This window comes from Homo sapiens, chromosome 1, assembly GCF_000001405.40.
Source record: "Homo sapiens chromosome 1, GRCh38.p14 Primary Assembly".
In the NCBI taxonomy this organism is placed as follows: domain Eukaryota; kingdom Metazoa; phylum Chordata; class Mammalia; order Primates; family Hominidae; genus Homo; species Homo sapiens.
Genome location: NC_000001.11, coordinates 22454543 through 22473341, shown reverse-complemented (window position 1 = coordinate 22473341; position 18799 = coordinate 22454543). Strand labels below are relative to the sequence as shown.

The 18799-nt window shown below is 41.3% G+C and overlaps 1 protein-coding gene across 5 annotated transcripts in view, besides 1 other annotated feature; it reads right to left on the bottom strand.

The window, feature by feature from the left end:
• ZBTB40 (zinc finger and BTB domain containing 40) overlaps positions 1–18799 on the bottom strand; it is a 102246-nt gene that overhangs the window by 57813 nt on the left and 25634 nt on the right. The window lies entirely within an intron of this gene.
• Positions 7831–7978: a silencer, noted in NCBI's record as "fragment chr1:22791857-22792004 (GRCh37/hg19 assembly coordinates)". NCBI's record gives its function as "represses an EF-1alpha promoter that drives an FKBP-Casp9 reporter gene in an ReSE screen in phorbol 12-myristate 13-acetate-treated (for megakaryocytic differentiation) K562 erythroleukemia cells {active_cell/tissue: K562(+PMA)}" and the evidence as "EXISTENCE:reporter gene assay evidence [ECO:0000049][PMID:32094911]".

The window sequence follows — 18799 nt, the reverse complement described above, 5'->3', positions numbered from 1 at the left end:
ACAGTCAGTCTGACCCGAAAGCTCATGCCCTTTATCCACTAGAACAGTTTCTCACACTTTAATGTGCATAAGAATCACCTGCGGATCTTGCTAATGAAAAGATTCTGATTCAGAAGTTCTGGGTGGGGCCTCAGACTCTTCATTTTTAATACGCTCCGGGTGACCTAGCTGCTGTTGGTCCAAGGAACCATCTCTGAGTAGCAAAGTGCTGTACAACAATACCTAATCTCAAATCACATCTAATTATTATCAAATATGTTTTAAGCAACACTTCACCTCTAGAAAGTCACAAGTCACCCTCAAATCCCTCTTTTGCACCTGCCCTTGGCTCCAGACAGAAAAACAATGTCCAAAGTATCTCTGGGAATAAATCCATATGACATGGAGGATCCTAACAACCAGGCCTTAGGCAAATAGCTCTGTGGCCTCCTGGTACCAACCCAAACTCTTTTGGAATGCATTCCAGCAGCCTATCTTCTAGGGCCCCAGGCTTTAGCCAGTTGCTGCCAAAGTAACTAGACCTAACAGGATCCTGTGCCAGGACACACTGCTCTTGATCTAGGAAATGGTCAACCAGACCTAGTTAAGCCTCGAAGGACCTAGAATGGTACAGCCAGCCAATAAATATATGCTGAACTGAACACAGTGAAGATATCTTGGCTCATGACACAATATATGACCTACTGTGACATTTCCTTTCTAGCCATTATGCCATCTGTCGTCTCTCACAGAATCAAACACCTCTACTTCTCTCCCATAGCCTCCTACTCAGATCCCCTGAAAGCTGTATTCAACAGCATTTCAAGGTTAGTATTCTCTTTTGTGGTGTAAAGTCTAAAATTAAAGCTCAATATGAGGCTGGACAGAGTGGCTCACGCCTGTAATCCCAACACTTTGGGAGGCCGAGGCAGGAGGATCACTTGAGTTCAGGAGTTCAAGACCAGCCTGGGCAACATGGCAAGACCCCCGTCTCTACAAGAAACACAAAAAATTAGCCAGGTGTGGTGGCCTGTGCCTATAGTCCCGGCTACTTGGGAGGCTGAGGTGGAAGGATCACTTGAGCCCAGGAGGTTGAGGCTTCAGTGAGCCATGTTTGTACCAGTGTACTCCAGACTCCAGCCTGGGCAACACAGCAAGACTCTGAAAAAAAAAAAAAGCAGCTCAGTTACATGCTTACTTGACATCTAGTACAATCTCGAGGGCCTCAAATGGCCTACCACAAGTACCCCTCCCCATTGTGCTCCACGGATAAGGTCCCCTGCCCAAACAATCCTCCTTACTAAGGGGACCAGGTACAGCTCTTGCTTATTCTTGAGAAGTGAGTGGGTTACAGTTCCCAGCCAGCCCCTGGAATTATTCAAACAAGCCAATCATATCCTCTGGCCAGAACCAGGGGGCACCATCCGCTCTTGACACTACAAAGGCTGCTTCCCACAGCCCCTCGCCGGTGGCTTACTCTGCTCTCGAGTGCAGCTCCCGTGTGGGCCTACGTGGTGTGTGGTATCCCAGCTTCCAGGCTGTGAGTATATGTGACTACAGCTGTCAAGCTCATCTGTCCACTGTCAGGTGTCATGTGTTCAGCATCCCCATAACCCTACAGTGGAAATCCCTCTCTCTTCGGATGGGGTGAATAGGAGGTGATTAAAACATCTTTTTTGCCCAATCCACTGGTCTCTGCCCTTTTCCATATCCCTGAGGCTCTCAAATGCCTTTGGCAAGGTCATCAACTGCTCTATCATGGTAATAATGTCTGGCATTGTGCTAAGCACGTTCCACACACTTTCTCATTTAATTCCCCTAACATCTCAATGAGGTAGATACCATTATATCCCTATTTTATAGATGAGGAAACTAATGTCAAGCAAGGTTATATAACCCACAAGACCACACAGCTAATAAGTTTGAGCAGAGCCCAAATGCAGATGTGCCTGGCTCCGTGTTCTTAACTACTACTTTAATCTCTCTGGCTGACAGTATTTCTGGGCTCACTGCCATCATTCCCCAATCCCTCACAGGCAGAGATGGACTGCTGGGTGGCCTGGCAGGAGTGCCTGCATTTGAGGCTCCTTGTTTTTTCTGCTGGTCTCTGCTAAAGGATGGATGGTGATATGTTATCTGGGAAAGAGTGCTATTGGAATAGGCCAGCTGGCTGGCTGCCAGAAGACTTTCCAAGATGGCTTCAACTTAATTTACCAAAAGGTCTAGTTTGGTTGTCAACCTTGCCGATACAGAAATCTTAACCTGTCAAAGTCTTAAAGTTAACTGGACTTGAGGAGGTTGGATAGCACTATCTAGACACAGAAGAAGCACAAATCAGAAAGGCAATTCATTAATTCACAAGGAGAAATATACCTATTCTTTGCAGTTATCTGTGAAAAAATTCAAATGGCAAGGTCAAATAACATCAGAAAGTCTCTTCAGAATCATAGAAGACAGCAAAGGAAGTTAGGTGTATGCAACCAACATTTAGTGGAAGCCTGGTGCCTCTGTCTTTACCATTAAAGTAAATGCCTGGCCCCACAACCCGGCAGGTGGAGTCTGAGGGCCAACTACACGGCACGGGCACTGCCAACTGACATTCTGTGATGTCTCGTCTATTACGGGGTTCCTAGACTCTTCTGTGGCTCCAGTTTCTATTGATATAGTTGCATTGCTTTGTCTTTGAGATAACTTTTGGCAGGTATCTAATAATCATGACCATGTGCTAATTTTTCAGTCTCTTTCTCTCAGAGTACCCTCCTACTGGCCCTGACCATAGGCTTTTCTTTTGACGCTCGGGACATCTGTCTATACCAGATCAGAACTACTCCTCCTTCAAGAAGCCGAAGCCCAATGAAGCTCCCAGCTCACTTCAGATTTATCCCCCTTCTAGCTTCCTTCTGGGCCATCTGCCATACACTGGCTGTGGCAGACTCATTCCTTGTTCCCTTTCTCTGTTCCCCCACCCACTCCTTTCTCCCACACACTTCATTCACTTGTTACTACTCTCCCTTCCTTCATGCCACTTAAAACTTTATAAAAAACTTATCGATACCAAATGTACATGAAATGATTCCTTATCAGAAGGATAACAGTCAGAATTATGCAACTAGAATTATCCTCAGAGATTATGTAATTCAGCCCTATTATTTTACAGATGAAAGAATTGATAGAAATCAAGTGACCTGCTCAAGTCATAAATCTATAACAGGCAACAGCAGGGCCAGAACCAGGATCCAGGTTTCTGAGCTTTTAAGCCAGTATTTGAACCAAGATACCAAACTCCTAAGTACACACAACAGGGCTTCAGTGGGGAGGGCTTCCATGCATCTCACATGCTGCTGAAGCACTAGGCTGGTTATACAGCCTGTTTATCATTTTTTTCTTCGAATGTTGATTAAAATTCAACCACTGATGGCTCTTTCAGCAAAAAAATAACTATCTTTAAGTCATAAAACTGCCCAAAATATATGCAAACATATGATTACAAATTTCCCAATCCACTGCCACTAGAACTATAAGGTGGGGCCGGGCACACTGGCTCACACCTGTAATAGCAGCACTTTGGGAGGCCAAGGCAGGCGGTCATTTAAGGTCAGGAGTTCAAAGCCAGCCTGACCAACATGGTGAAACCCCGTCTCTACTAAAAATACAAAAATTAGTCGGGCGTGGTAGCTACTCAGGAGGCTGAGGCAGGAAAATTGCCTGAAGCCAGGAGGCGGAGGTTTCAGTGACCCAAGATCGCACCACTGCACTCCAGCCTGGGTGACAGAGTAAGACTCCGTCTCATAAAAAAAAACAAAAAACAAAAAAACAAAAAAACCCTATCAGGTGGATTTGTGACTTGACCTCAAAAACATTTAGGTGACTATTAATATAGCCGGGTGCAATGGCATGTACCTGTAGTCCCAGCTCCTCAGGAGGCTGGCACAAGAGAATGGCTTGAGGCCAGGAGGCCAAGGCTGTAGTGCTCTTTGATCACACCTGCGAACAGACACCACACTCTATCCTGGGCAACATAGTGAGACTGTGTCTCTTAAAAAAAAAGAAGTAATACATTAATGAAAACATAACTGGAAGAGGCTTTTCTACGCATAAAGGAAACAGAAGAAATTCACAAATGATCAATAGATTTGACTACATAAAAATGTAAGCTTTAAAACAAAACACCATCAACAAAATTAAAACATAAATGATAAACCAGTGAACACTTCATGGCTTAAAGGAAGTGACAACCAGGCACAGTGGCTCAATGCCTATAATCCCAGCACTTTGGGAGGCCAAGGCAGGAGGATCCCTTGAGACAAGGAATTCAAGACTAGCCTGGGCAACATAGTGACACTCCATCTCTAAAAAAAATACCAAAAAATTAGCCAAGTGTGGTGGAGTACACCTGTAGTCCTCGCTGTTCAGGTAGCTGAGGTGGGGACATTACTTGAGCCTAGGCAGTCAAGGCTATAGTGAGCTATGATTGTGCCACTGTATTCCAGCCTGAGTGATAGAGCAAGACCCTGTCCCTACTAAACAAACCAAAAAAGAAAGATTATACAAATCAATAAGGAAACACCAAGCATGGCAGCCCATGCCTATAATCCCAACATTTTGGGAGGCCAAGGCAGGAGGATTACTTGAGCCCAGGAGTTCGAGATCAGCTTAAGCAACAGAGTGAGACCCCATTTCTACAAAAACTAAAAAAAAAAAAAAAAAAAAAAAAAAAAAGCCAGCCAGGCATGGTGGCACATGCCTATACTCCCAGCTAGTTGGAAGGCTGAGGGAGGAGGATCACTTGAGCCCAGGAGTTTCAAGCTGCAGTGAGCCATGATTGTGTCACTGCACTCCAGCATACGCAACAGAGCGACATCCTGTCTCCAAAAAAAAAAAAAAAAAAAAAAAAAAAGGAAACATTAACATTTTAAATTTTAAAAAGAAAAATATAGATAATTCACAAAAAATTAAAAGTCAATAAACTGATTAAAAATTCAGCCTGGTGAATAATTAAAGAAACGCAAATCAAAACATGGAATCAAAAGTTTTTCAGTGACAGTATTTAATTGGGAAATAGTGTTTTAGACCGTGGACTCGGATTTGGCAGAACTAACTTGAACACTTACTCGGTGACCTTGGGCATATCACTTTAATCACTGTGAGCCTTAACATCCTTATAGTTTTAGTGTGAAGATGAAATGAGAGAATGCACCTGAATTGCTTTAGCAAAGTGACTGTCAACAGTAAATGCTCAATAAGTATTAGCTTCTTTTCTTTTTTTTTTTTTTTGAGATGGGGTCTTGCTCTGTCACTCAGGCTGAAGTACAGTGGTGCGACCTTGGCTCACTGCAGCCTTGACCACCTGGGCTGAAGCAATCCTCCCGCATCAGCCTCTCAGGTAGCTAGGACTACAGGCATGAGCCACTACACCTGACTAATTTTTTGATTTGTAGACAGGGTCTCCCTATGTTGCCCAGGCTGCTCGCGAACTCCTGGGTTCAAGGGATCCTCCTGCCTTGGCCTCCCAAGGTGCTGGGATTACAGGCATAAGCTACTGTGCCCAGCCTGCTATTATTATCAGGAAAAAAAAAAAAAAAAAAACAGGCCTGACACAGTGGCTCATGTCTGTAATCCCAGCACTTCGGGAGGCTGAGGTGGGAGGATCACTTGAGGTCAGGAGTTCAAGACCAGCCTGGCCAACATGGTGAAACCCTGTCTCTACTAAAAATACAAAAATTAGCCAGGTGTAGTGGTGCCCACCTGTGATCCCAGCTACTCAGGAGGCTGAGGTGGCAGAATTGCTTGAACCAGGGAGGCAGAGATTGCAGTGAGCAGAGATTGCGCCACTGCACTACAGCCTGGGTGACACAGCGAGACTCTGTCTCAAAAAACAAAAACAAAACTACTTGCACTAATAACATAGGAGAGGGAGCAATGGGCTAGGTACCCACACAATGCTGATGGAAGTATAATCTGGTAAAACTTTTTAGGAAACAAGGCTGGTAAATAATCTGGGAGTAATCTGCTCATCTAAAGCTATAAAAATGTCCTTAGAGACTCGAGAATTTGCAGGGTGGGGAAAAGTATACTTTACTTGCACTGCTTGAATGTTTTACCAGAGTTACTTTATATACAAGCTGTATAATTCCAGATAAAAAAGAATGAGAAATCCATGATAGTAGCAGGAAAAAAAATGTTAATGTTTATGCCTTTTAGAATCACTTCTAGGAATCTATCAGAAATAATTAATTATATATGCAATGAAATATTTATGTACACTATATTCGCAGCAATAGTATTAATGGTTAAAAAAAACCCTGCAGACAAACTTAAATATACGAGGTTTTAAAGTAAATATGGCATACAGCCATATTATGGAATATTATGCAGCCATAAAATTAGGCTCTCTATATGACACTAAAAGAACATGTAATCCCCCAATAAATAAATAAATCGAATTTCATCATATTTTTCAATGTCTGTTTATCAAAGGACATCATCATGAAAGTAAAGAGACACTGCACAGAATGGGAACAAGTATTTTCAAATCACATATCTGATAAAGGTCTAGTATTCAGAATACATATAGTGTACCAGAATCTAGTATCCGGAACTCTTACAACTCAACAATAAAAGGACAAATAAGCCAATTTTAAAATGGGCAAAGGATTTGAATACACATCTCTCCAAAGACAGGCAAAGTGGCCAGTAAGTACATGAACAGATGTTCATCATCAGTCATTAGTAAATGCAGATCAAAACTGTAGTGAGAGACAACTTCACATAACACTAGGATGGGTATAATAAAATAAAACAGAAAACAGAAAATACAAGTGTTGCTGAGAATATGGAGAAACTGGAACCCTCACGGAATTGCTGGTGGGAACATAAGATGGTGCCACCCCTGTGGAAAACAGTCTGGCAGTTTCTCAAAGAGTTAAGCACAGAGACACCATATGACCCAGCAGTTCCACTCCTAGTATATATCTGGGACAAATGAAAACATGGATCCACTCAAAAACCTGTACATTAATGTTCATTGGAGCATTAAGCCTAACGGCCAAAAAATGCAAACAACCTAAATGTCCATCAACTTATGAATGGACAAACAAAATATTATACATGTAAACAATGGAATATTATTCATCCATAAAAAGGAGGTACTGATACATTCTACAACATGGATGAATCTTGAAAACATTATGCTAAGTAAAAGCCAGTTTAGCCAGACATAAAAGGCCACATATTGCTGTATATGATTCCATTCATATGAAATGTCCAGAATAAGCAAATCCATAGAGACAGAAAGTGGATTAGTGGTTACCAGACTCTTTGGGGAAGAGTAAATGGGGAGTGACTACTAACAGGTACAGGGGGGGTTTCAGAGTGATAAAACACGTTCTGGAATTGGAAAGTGGTGATGGTTATAATGGTGGCAGCTGATCCAGTTGGCCTGCCATTATCCTGGCTGAAGCAAGGAGGCCTGGGCAGGGCTACATGTTCCACGGAGCAGGCAGGGGCACCACCCAAGTTGTGGCTGCAGATATGAGCCTCCTTGTGTTCTTGGGGAGCCAGAAGCAGGCAGAAGCCCTGCCCCCCATGGGGCAGCTGAAACCCCCCAAACCATGGCTGCAACTCAGGCATCCCTGCACTCTTGGGGGTCTGGGAAGGCCCCACCCTCACAGGCTCAGAAGCACCTGCCCCCACTGTTTGGCTTCTCCCTGCTATCAGCACCCACTCCGATCTCAATCTGGAGCAAAGTTGGGCAGAGCCCAAGCACCATGAACAACAGCAGGCAGACAGAGTCCCAGGTAGAAGGGGGCAGGTCCCAGTAAGGTCCCTCCTTCAGGCCAGGCAGGGGCCTGAAGGCTGGGGGGCCTGGCTGCCAGTCCCACTGACCAGAGTGGGAACTGGTGCCTTTTCCAGGCCCGCCCATGGCCACCCATGGGCCAACTGGCACATACCGCACTTCCTCCCCTCTGAGGCCCATAAAAGCCCCGGACTCAGCCACAGCTGAGTAGACATGGGATGACTAGCTACAGAGAGGAGCTACCCTCTCTGCTGAGAACTTCAGAGACCTGCAGAGACCGCCAAATGACCTGCCCGCAGAGAGGAGTTACCCTCTCCAGGGCCTCCTCTTTGCTGAGAGCAGCAGACGTCTAGTCAACCAGCAAGCAGAGAGGAGCTACCCTCTCCAGGGCTTCCTCTCTACTGAGAGCTGAACACTCGACAGACAACCTGCCTGCCTACAGAGGGGAACTAACCATCGCGGGTCTCCTCTGAGCTGTTCTAACACTAAATAAATCTGCTCTTTGTTTTCTTCACCCTTCACTTGTCTGCATACCTGGATGCAGGACAAGAGGTTGGGCAAAGGCACCAACAGCCAACAGAGGTTTCCAGGAAGAAAATCGACACCCTAAAGATCCCATAACAGTTACACAGATGTTTGAATTGTACACTTTAAAATGGTAAATTCTATGGTATGTAAATTACATATAAATACTTTTGTGGGGGAAAAAAAGGCACTTGAAGGTTTTTAATGACGTAGGAAAATGCTCTCGATATACTAAAAAGAAAACAACCAGCATGCAACTGAATACGTGTATAATTCCAATTTGGTTTAAAAATATGTGTGCATGCATATACATATTTGCATTTAAAAATATAGAAAATACAGAAAAATGCTAAGAGTGGTTATCCTAGGTACTGTCATTATGGCAGACTTATTTTCTTCTTCATATGTTATAAAATTTTCTATAGTAAACATGCATAAACCTTATAACAGGAAATTTAAGAATAAAATCCCAGACAGGTGGGGCTGGCTTTAAAGCTAGTGTCATTTCCAACATACCATTCATTCATTAAACATTTATTTAGCTCCTGCTATGTACCAAACACAGATATAAGACATAATCTCTGCCTGAAAGGAACTGACATAAGTCTAGGGTAGGGTTTGAACCCAAATCAATGGACTGGATAGGGGAAGAAGAGTCCAGAAGCTCTTTAAATTACTGCCCATGTAATGTTGCCCAACTACACCCTTTCTGGGGGAGAGGGCCCACGGCTTTCATGAGCAATGTAGCTTAGTGGTTAAAGGCCAGAGCTGGAGCCAGACTACCCGGGTGCGAATCTTGAATGTTCAATTACAAAGTGTGTGATCCTGGGCAAATTACCTAACCTATTAGGAGCTCTGTTTCCTCATCTACAAAATGCAGATAGTAATAGTACCTTTCTCATTGGGCTGCTGGAAGATTAAATGAGTTACACCTAAAGCACTGGCACCACAGGCCAGGGACATAGCAAGTGCTCAATAATTAGCTGCTAGCTGCCATGATCATGATCACTGCCCCACCACTATCATCTCACAGATTGTCAAGGAGATAGAGACATGGAGAAGATTAAGGACCACTAGAAATGTTTGTTTTCAAAACTGGTAGGTAGCATCTGATTCCTGATGTGCCTATAATAACCATTCTTTTCAATTAATTTCTTTTTCCAGATTCTCTCCATTTCTAATGAAACTTCTTTTGAGGTGTTCTACAAAATACAATGAGGCAAAATATCAAAATGTTCAGCGTAACAAACTGCTTATGTCCTCTTATCTTCTGACTAATTCATAGAAACAAGCAATTTTCAAGACTGTTATAACAGAAGGAGGCTTTGAGAGATTTAGGTGCCTTTCCAGGCCATGCTGCTCTGATCCAGTAGTTCATCCAAGATAACTCTTTACAGACCAAACTGCAAAATCTCCTGAGCGACACATGTATCTAATGAGTGATTAGGGATTGTGACCACATTATACTTAAGGCCAACTTTTCCATCCTGCAGTCAGGAGTCTCAACAAGCAATTACCACTCCAATGCTTTCAAATCCAATCTCTTAGGTATCAAAAAGACCCTTTGCTTTGTCACTGGTACTGAAAGGCATTTTGCTCTGCCCTGAAAACACGGACGATAACTAAGTTTTCATCAGATTGATTATAATACACTTTTCTTCATCAGGGAATAAATCTGGGTCACACATAAATACAGTACCAAATTCCAGAATTCACAGATACCCATCTAATGTAAAAATTAAGGGGCCCTGGCAACTAAAGAGTAACACACCAGGCACTGTGATGCCAGCGGCTATGTGCTCTACAGTAAAGGTGTGGCGCGCAGGCTCTAGAGAGAACCAGGAGCATGAATCCCAGCTCTGCCCCTCTTACCAGCTAAATTTTAGTCAAGTTGCTTAACTCTCTTGGCCTCAGTCTTCTCATATGTAAAATGGGGATAATATTAGTGCTTATTTCATGAGGTAGTTGTATGAATGAGCTACTACGTGTAAATGAGTCAATACACATAAACAGCAGTTCCTGTAACACTGTTAACAGTCACTAAATGTTAGGTGTTACTACCTTTGGAAAAGGAAGCATAAAATACACCTATCAAAGTATTTGCTTTTTATCATTCTGCTTCATCACTTTCAAGTTACATATGTATCTTCTATATATGTCAAATGTCACATAATTTTTTTAAAAGAAAAGAATTCATAGACAACTGCATTGCTCATTTCATACAGCTGGACTGGAATGAGACTAAGCCAGGAAAGAGAGAAAGTGGGGAGAGTCCGACTTCTCATAACAAGACGGCTGGGCTATAATCAGAGATTTCATACAAAACCTTAAACTCATTAAAAATTAGAAGATGCAAAGGACTTTGAAATCACCTGGCCCAATTCCCACATTTCATAGATGAGGAAACCACAGCCTTGAAATGTAAAGTGTTTTAAGATCTTCCAGTTCATTAATGACAGAAATGAGACTCTTCCCGTTACCTATGGCTTAGATATATATTCTAAGTGGAACGTAAAGACGACAACATTTTGGAAAAGGGAAGAAGAATGCGTTTGAGAGGTTAACAATAATAGCTAACATTTATTAAGCATTTATTATATCTCAGGTATTGTGCCAAGCACTTTACATTGGTGGCCTTAAATAATTTTTGCAAAACCAGTGAGATAGTTACTATTATTAACCCCACTTTCAAATGAGGAAGTGGAGGCCTAGAGAGATTAAATGACCTGCCCCAAATCACAAAGCCAGTGAGTGGTAGAGTCAGTCAGTGAACTCATGCTGTCTGACTCTAGAGCCGAAACTTTGACCACTGAGTGATACTGCCCAAACTTTAAAATTTAAAAAGTGGTGAAGTTCTTAACCTTAGATTCTTTCTCCTACTTTTTTGATAACTTCCCTGTTCAGAGGCATTACAAGGATACCCTATTAATGAAGTGGTTTTTAAATAAGAACAGATAATGGAGATGTAGAGCCTACTTATTCTGTGCAGGTGAGACACCGCACACACATTCCTCAACCCTCCCTGCCACTTCCTACTTGTTCAAGGCTGTGCACCTTGGTAACAGGGCAGCTGAAGGATGTGGGAGCCCATGTGGCCCCAGTGTGACCCCAAGGCTGTGTCCCAGCCCTATCAGCGAAAAAGATGTGCTTGTCAATCCAGCAGATTGTCACTGAGCTCAGCCGAATGACCTTAACTGAGGCTTGGCACTACACAGAGAAGAAATTCAGCATAATCCCTGCTCTCAAGGAGCTTATGGCACAGCTGGGAAGAAGAGACCACTTTCAGCTTAAATCCTTCTTTCCTCACACTTTTGTAGTTAAGTACCAGAGCACTGAAGAGACTACAGACCCCCAACTTCCAGCAACACTGTCCTATCACACTACTCAGATCACTCAGCCTTCAGTACCCCTCTGTGTACATTTCACAGATCAACTCCTTTCTCGTCTCCTCCTAGTGTTATAAGCTTTTTCTTTTGTCTTTGAAGAAGTGGGAATTATTTTCATCTCTCTATTTCCCTCCATCACCAGGGAGTATGTCAAGAGGGTTAACTTAAGGAGCTAACAAAAAAACGTAAAAGAGGATAACTTCTCTATTGCTGTTAATGTTGGGAAAGAGCCTATGGGATTCTATAGTATTTGCTCAAAAATGTTCAAAGGAATATACGGAAATTTCATCCTCAACATTTTACTGTCCAGAAAAAAAAAAAAAAAAACAACGGAACTCTAGGGGCCAATTATTCTGCTGTCTTGGACTCTGACCTTAGCCAGTCTCCCTCTGGTTTTAACCTGACTACAACTGAGGAGAACTGACAGCAGAGTACCAACTGAATGAGCAGCTTGTGTCTAGAGTGGTCAAACTGAATGACTTCAGGCCTTCAGAGCAACATTCAAAAGTAACAAGTACCATGCCAAACTTATATGCTAAATGATTAAGAGCAAGTTTCATTGTTATTTAATTTAAATATATTGGTTCCCACTATGTTCACGACATCATACTAGGAGGTAAGTATTCAAAACAGTGGCAAGCCTTTGAAAACCAACCAATATCAGATTGTAGTAATACAACTAGAGAAATAGAAGACAGAGTGAGAAGAGCACATGAGAAGCAGTAAAGGGGGAAAGATGGGAGGGTTTACTGTCTGCAGTGAGTAGAGAAGGAAGTATCTGGGTGTGAATTCGTAGATGGGAAGACTACTATTAGAGTCTTCTATAATACTATACTAGTTTGAAGAGTGGGTCTTGACTCTCTCCTTTCCTTCTGCTCTTCCCTGGCCAGCTAGAGCCTAAAGTTTGAAAAACAATTTTTAATAAGGAGCTATAAAGAGTTGGGTTCTAAATCTGACGTTAGCTTTGTAACCTTGAGTTACTTAACCTTTCAAAACCTGTTTTCTCAAGGGTAAAATGAAGTTAACAAGTATATGGGAGCTCATAATGCTACTCTCACTTTTATATTTGCAAATTTTCTTAATTTTTAGAAACGGCAGTAATAATACCTATTGCTTAGTTGTTGTGAGGGTTACATGAAACAATACTGTAGAATACCTAGTACACTGCCTGGTATTTTGTATGTGTTCAATAAATGGTAACTATTATTATCAACATGATGTGAAATGTCATATAATGTTAAGACATGAATTATTATATTTTAATATTATGAAAATTTTAAAGTTCACCAGAACTTTTAAAAAAGTTTTGGAATGGAGGAAAGAGGAGAACCAAGTACTATGACCCAGTGAATCAATGGCTGCAGACTTAGAAATACAACAAGGATGACCTTTCCAAATAGAGTCTAACGGGCTCTCACTCTTTCACCCACCTTCATTCTCCCCTCACTACTTTATTCATCCATTCAGCAAATATGTTCTGACTGAACTGTACGCAGGACACAGTGCTAAGAGGTGAGAGTGAGAAAGAGATGAAGGTGGACAAAAGAAGGAGATTTAGGGAACAATATAATAGGATGAGCTTTAAGGGGGGAGGTATCAAGGAATAATTTGAAGTCGCATGCAAAATGTTTGGAATATGTGGGTGTGTAGAACTTCTCTAGGATCTTCTGGAGGGATTCTAAACAGAATTATTATTTTTTAAATGTTAAGAATAAAGGTCTAATAAACTGAAAAAGAAGCATACAGATTTTATATAAGGAAAAACATGTAACACTCCTGAAAAATCACCAAAGTAGCTTTGAGCAAATGAAAAGACAGACCATAATCTTGGATAGAAGAGTCAATATGGTAAAGATGCTAGTTCTCCCTAAGCTAATTTATAAAATGTAACACAATCCTAATAAAAATACCATCAAGTCATCTCCTCTTGAAACCAGACAAATTGATTATTAAGTTCATATGCCAGAATAAACAAGCAAAAACAGCCAGGAAAACCCTGAAAAAGAGCAATATTTTAAAAATTGGCCCTTCCAGATGTTAAATGATAAAGCCTCTAAAATTAAGATGATTTTGTAACAGCATATGAATTGGCAATCAAACCAATGGAACAAAACAGAAAATCCAGTAAGAAATCTAAATGCATACAAAGGCTTAGTATTCAATAAAGACAGCATCTCAAATCAGTGAAGAAAAAAGTTTTTAATAAGTACTGTTGAGACAACTGACTGGCCATTGGGATAAAGATAAAATCAGATCCTTCCTCAAACCAAATACTAAGATAAATTTCAAATGGATCAGAGTCTTAAATGTTTTTTAAAAAGTGAAATCATAAGCCTTACATGTACTAGAAGAAAATATAAATGGATGCTCCATAAATTGAGAGTGGGGCAAATATCCTAACTATGACTGCAAATCCAAAGCAATACACGGTAAGACTGAGAAACACAACTATATAAAGATATAAAACTTGGATAGAAATAAAACAATATATACAAAGTCAAGCATATGACAACTGGAAAAATATATTTGCAATCTGTATCACAGACATGATATATCCTTTATCTCATAAAAAGAAACAACAAATTTAAGCTATACTGAAATATTATTTCTTACCTGACAGATTGGCAAAACCCCAAAACTTTAACAGCATACTTTGTTAGCAAGACAGGAGAAACAGAGAAGAAGGGTTTAGGTATGAAATAAAAACTTCTTGGTAAAAAGGAATTTAATTTTTAATAGCAATCCTTAAAGTTTAAAACCAATGACAGCCTGGCACAGTGGCTCACACTTGTAATCCCAGCACTTTGGGAGGCCGAGGCAGGTGGATTGCTTGAGGCCAGGAGTTCAAGACCAGCCTGGGCAACATGGTGAAACCCCATCTCTACCAAAAATCATAAAAATTGGCCAGTTTCCTAATCCATTCTCAAAATTAATTAATTTTTTAAAAAAGTATTCAAGAAAAAGAGCCTGTTTATGAAGTTGGTGATACAACTACACAGAAGATAATTACATCAAGTGACTTTAAGACAATATCTGACTACACATCTCAAGTAGCATATATTCTAAGGAAAAAAGGAATAACAGAAAACCCAAACAGCATTCAGTAATATAAAGGTCAGTGTAGATAATGGCATTGCTACTGGCCTGGTTGATACCAGCAGCAGGGAAGTCCAGGGAGAGGGAGCAGCCTTGAAGCCTTGGAATGTGGCCCACTGGCCCCAGAAAGGATGAAGTCCTGTGGCCACTGAGAGATTTCAACTGGTGCTCAATATAAGGTGAATTGTGGGAGGAGGGGCTGCTCAGAGGCTTGAGAGACAGGCACAGCCACAGTTGGAGGGTAGCACTTGCTGGACCATCCTAAGGGCAGGCAAGCCATCCAAGAGTTTTAAAGCAAGGGAATCACATATTCCGATCTGTGCTTTATAAAGACCACTGGTAACAGTGTACCAAATAGATTGGAGAGGAATGAAGCTGAAAGCCACTGACCAACTAGAAGGCTGTTTCATAATCCAGGACAAGAGATTATAGCAACTCTAACCAAAGGAAGAGAAAGGGTAGAAGAAATCAACAGTCCTGTAGCCTAACTAAATATGTGCTGAAAGAGAAGATCATGGCACCATTCCCAGGTTTCTGCCTTTGGCAACTCTGTGGTGCCATCCACTGAGCCTAAGAACCAGGGAGAAGTACCAGGTGGAAGAAAGATGGCAAATTCACTGCTGCCAATGCCCTGGAGACCATCTTCTGGAGCTAATGGGGACAAGGAGCAAAAGGAGTCAAGAAGGAAAACTCAGGAAGACTCAATGGTCAGGCCCCAGTCCTAGAAAGCTGAGAAATAGGACGAAATTAGCAGGTTAGATTACCTCTTACAGTATTTTCTCAAAATAAGAAATAGAATCACCTACCGTTCACCTTTGTTTTTATGCTAAAAATAACCCCACTATAGCTAACACTAGCTAACAAATATTAACCAACAAATAACCAATATTTGGAGCCTGAAAACCTATTATTTACAGTTATAATCCTTTGTTTCTAATTTCCTCATCCTTCTTGGCCCATTTCTTGCATAAAGCATCCTCTACTGTTTGGTCCTGTTCCAGAACCACGCTAGTGCCTGCAGCAGAGGTCGCTCATGCAAACGCCTCCAGGGGTCAGACAGATGGAAAATCTCTAATGCTTAAATGGAAGTAACTACTTTTTAAACACTCTATGAGCCAAACTCTGGCCTATAGGAGTTTTCTATTGAGGTCCCAGTTTTACAGAATATCCTAAGATAAAGATATTTCCTTGTTTTTGTTTCCCTTTGGGTACTAATAAAACCAGAAATTACATTTATGAATTGCCTTTTTCAGAAGTCCAAGTATTAGTTAAATTCTGAGATAGGTTTTGCCTCAATATAGCAGCTTTTTCTTTTCACAGAGATAAAGAGAGGGGACTCTGTGGACAAATGCAGGGAAACAGCCTTTCTTTCTTTAATCCTCTGCTTCCTCAAGTCTATCCCCTCCCCTCTTCTTCTTTCCTTTAAAAAAAAAAAATAGAGACAGGGTCTCAACTGGAATGCAGTGGTCTGATCACAGCTCACTGCAGCCTCAACTCCTGGGCTTGCATAAGTGATCCTCCTGCCTCAGCCTCCCAGAGTGCTGGGATCACAGGCATGAGCCACTGTGCCCAGCCTTCTTTCCCTTTTAACCCAGCCTTCGTTAAGTCTGAGGAACTGACTCCATCTGCAAGAAGCTGATGCCTAGAAACAAAGCAGTGAGCTTCCACTACCTCCTCCTTTCCTCTATCAGTAGAAACAGTTATGATATCTGCTAACGAGGTTGCCTAGACAATAGGTCCACATCTCACCAGTCTCATGTAAATTAACAACAACCATCTGTAAGGCATTTATGAAGCAGTTCAATGGGCAGATATCTATGTTACACAAACATTCAACTATGCTTGACCACTTTAGACAGAAAACAAAGCCTGAAAAGACTTAAAATCTGAGATTAAGGTTACAGAGCAGTGAAACAGTACCTGGTTTCAGGGGAGATTCTCATCGCGCCTTCAGTTAGGTGATGTTACATGTGATGTTTCATTGTTGGTTCTGCACCTTTTAAAGGGTCAAGGGCCTTTCTGAGATCAGATTAAAGTAACTGGCTCTCTCCCCAGAAAAAATGACATTCACACAAATTTGCAGGCAACTTCAAAGGATTCATGGGTCTCTTGAAATTCAACCATTTACCCTGAGATTAACAATCTCTGACTTACATGGATCAGCATAATACATTTATGTAAGGAAATGAAATACGTGGCATCATAATTTTGAGGATTTGGAGTTAAATAACAACATTAGGGAAATGTAAGGAAAGCTGGCTTTCTTTCCTTATCCTTCTCTCTCGAGGGCTGCCAGAGTCTCAAAACTGCATGCTCCCTGCAAATGAAATACTGCACTCTCTGCTAGACTTACAGAAAGTGACAATCTCATCTCTCAATTTAAATGCCCTTAATATTTAATTCTTTCCTCTATGTGGTTAGTAGCTTGCTTTCTCCACATTATCCAGATGATGGCTTTGGAAGGCAGACTATTGGAGATCCAGAAAACCATATATCCCAATTCAATTTCCTTGTGAAAATCAAAGAGCTCACTCTGCTGAAGAGTTGAAAGAGGCTGAGGGGTCACTGCCTTCCCTCAGGGTGCTGGTTCAGGCAGTACTCGAGAAGGGTAATGTAAATACTCAGTACGAGGCAACAGGGCATACTAATTTGTTTTTCAATCTATTTTATTTCAGTTCAAAGCATCATTGCAGACAGATAGTCCAAGAAAACAAGCCACACTTGGGTTATACTCAGTCTTCCTCAATCTCCAAAAGCAGGTGAGTGTTGCCAAAGTGTGGCTCGTTTTCCGGGGCTGCCTGTCTGCAATGATGCTTTGAACTGAAATAAAATAGACTGAAAAACAAACTGGTATGCCCTGGCTCTTCTTGCAGTTTCATACTATCCTTCAAAGCTAGTGTTAGCACCTGCTCTTTACTGGAACCCAACAGACCCAAATCACAGAGTAAAACTGCAATACTTTAGATGCAAAGGTCCCACCCAAACCTAAAATAGCAATTTAATTCAGGGCTTGTTGTTTAACATTGCATTAAATGACACTCTCTGTCCAGTTCTTTGCTCCGTTTGCAGGGTTAGAATGTGTCTTCTGATGACATGTGCAATATGGTTACTAGGGAGAGTTTAAAGCGAAACCTGCCATGCTGTTCTTCTTACATAGTTCCCTTGATTTATTATTGCTTCTAATTTCTTACATTTATGAACCCGAACATTATCCTATTTTTACTTAGTCAAAAAGCCTGCCATTTGCCTCAAAGCATTCAATACTGTTTTAGAGTATGTGACATTATTTTGAAAACTTTTGGAGGAAACTTGAAATCATGCACAAACAAATTTTTAAATCGCCACCAACTAAAAGTCTAACATTTGTTTAGAATGCCTTAAGAGAATACATACACCTTTGATGGAGGAACATAAGTAGTTTCCAACTTAAAACACTAAAATGCTGAAAAGTGTTCTGCATAGACAGCTGTACAATTTGGCTTTAAAAAAATTAGATGCCATTTGGAAAAGTTCCTCTCCAAGCAGAAACACTAAGAAAAAACAAGATCTGCTCCCCTCTTTCTGGAGATAGAAAGTAGAGGGCTTCTATTTTTAATTGGATTCCCCCATTCTTAATTTTGTCTGTAATGTATTTCTGGATTTTTGTTATTAGTTAGCACTTTATAAAGTTTCCATTTGGAGCTAAATTTGGTTATTCAGCAATATGTGTAACAACAACAAAAAGAAAATACCATAGCTATGAATACAGTTTCTCTTATTTAATCTGCACAACCCTTTGAGGAGGCACCATTATCCACATTTTCCAGGTCAGATAACTAATCTGTAACTTGCCCTTGGGCGTGCAGTTCTCTCAGTAGTAGCTGGGTTCACGGCCAGGGACTGAGCACAGGAGTGAACCACAGCACAGTGACTCCCTTTGAGTTCTCCAACATCTCACGTTGTTACCCACCTTAGTCTCTGAACCTGCTGAAAAGTTCTTCCTCCCAGCTTCGTCTCTCCCTTTCCCCTTCTTGCTAGA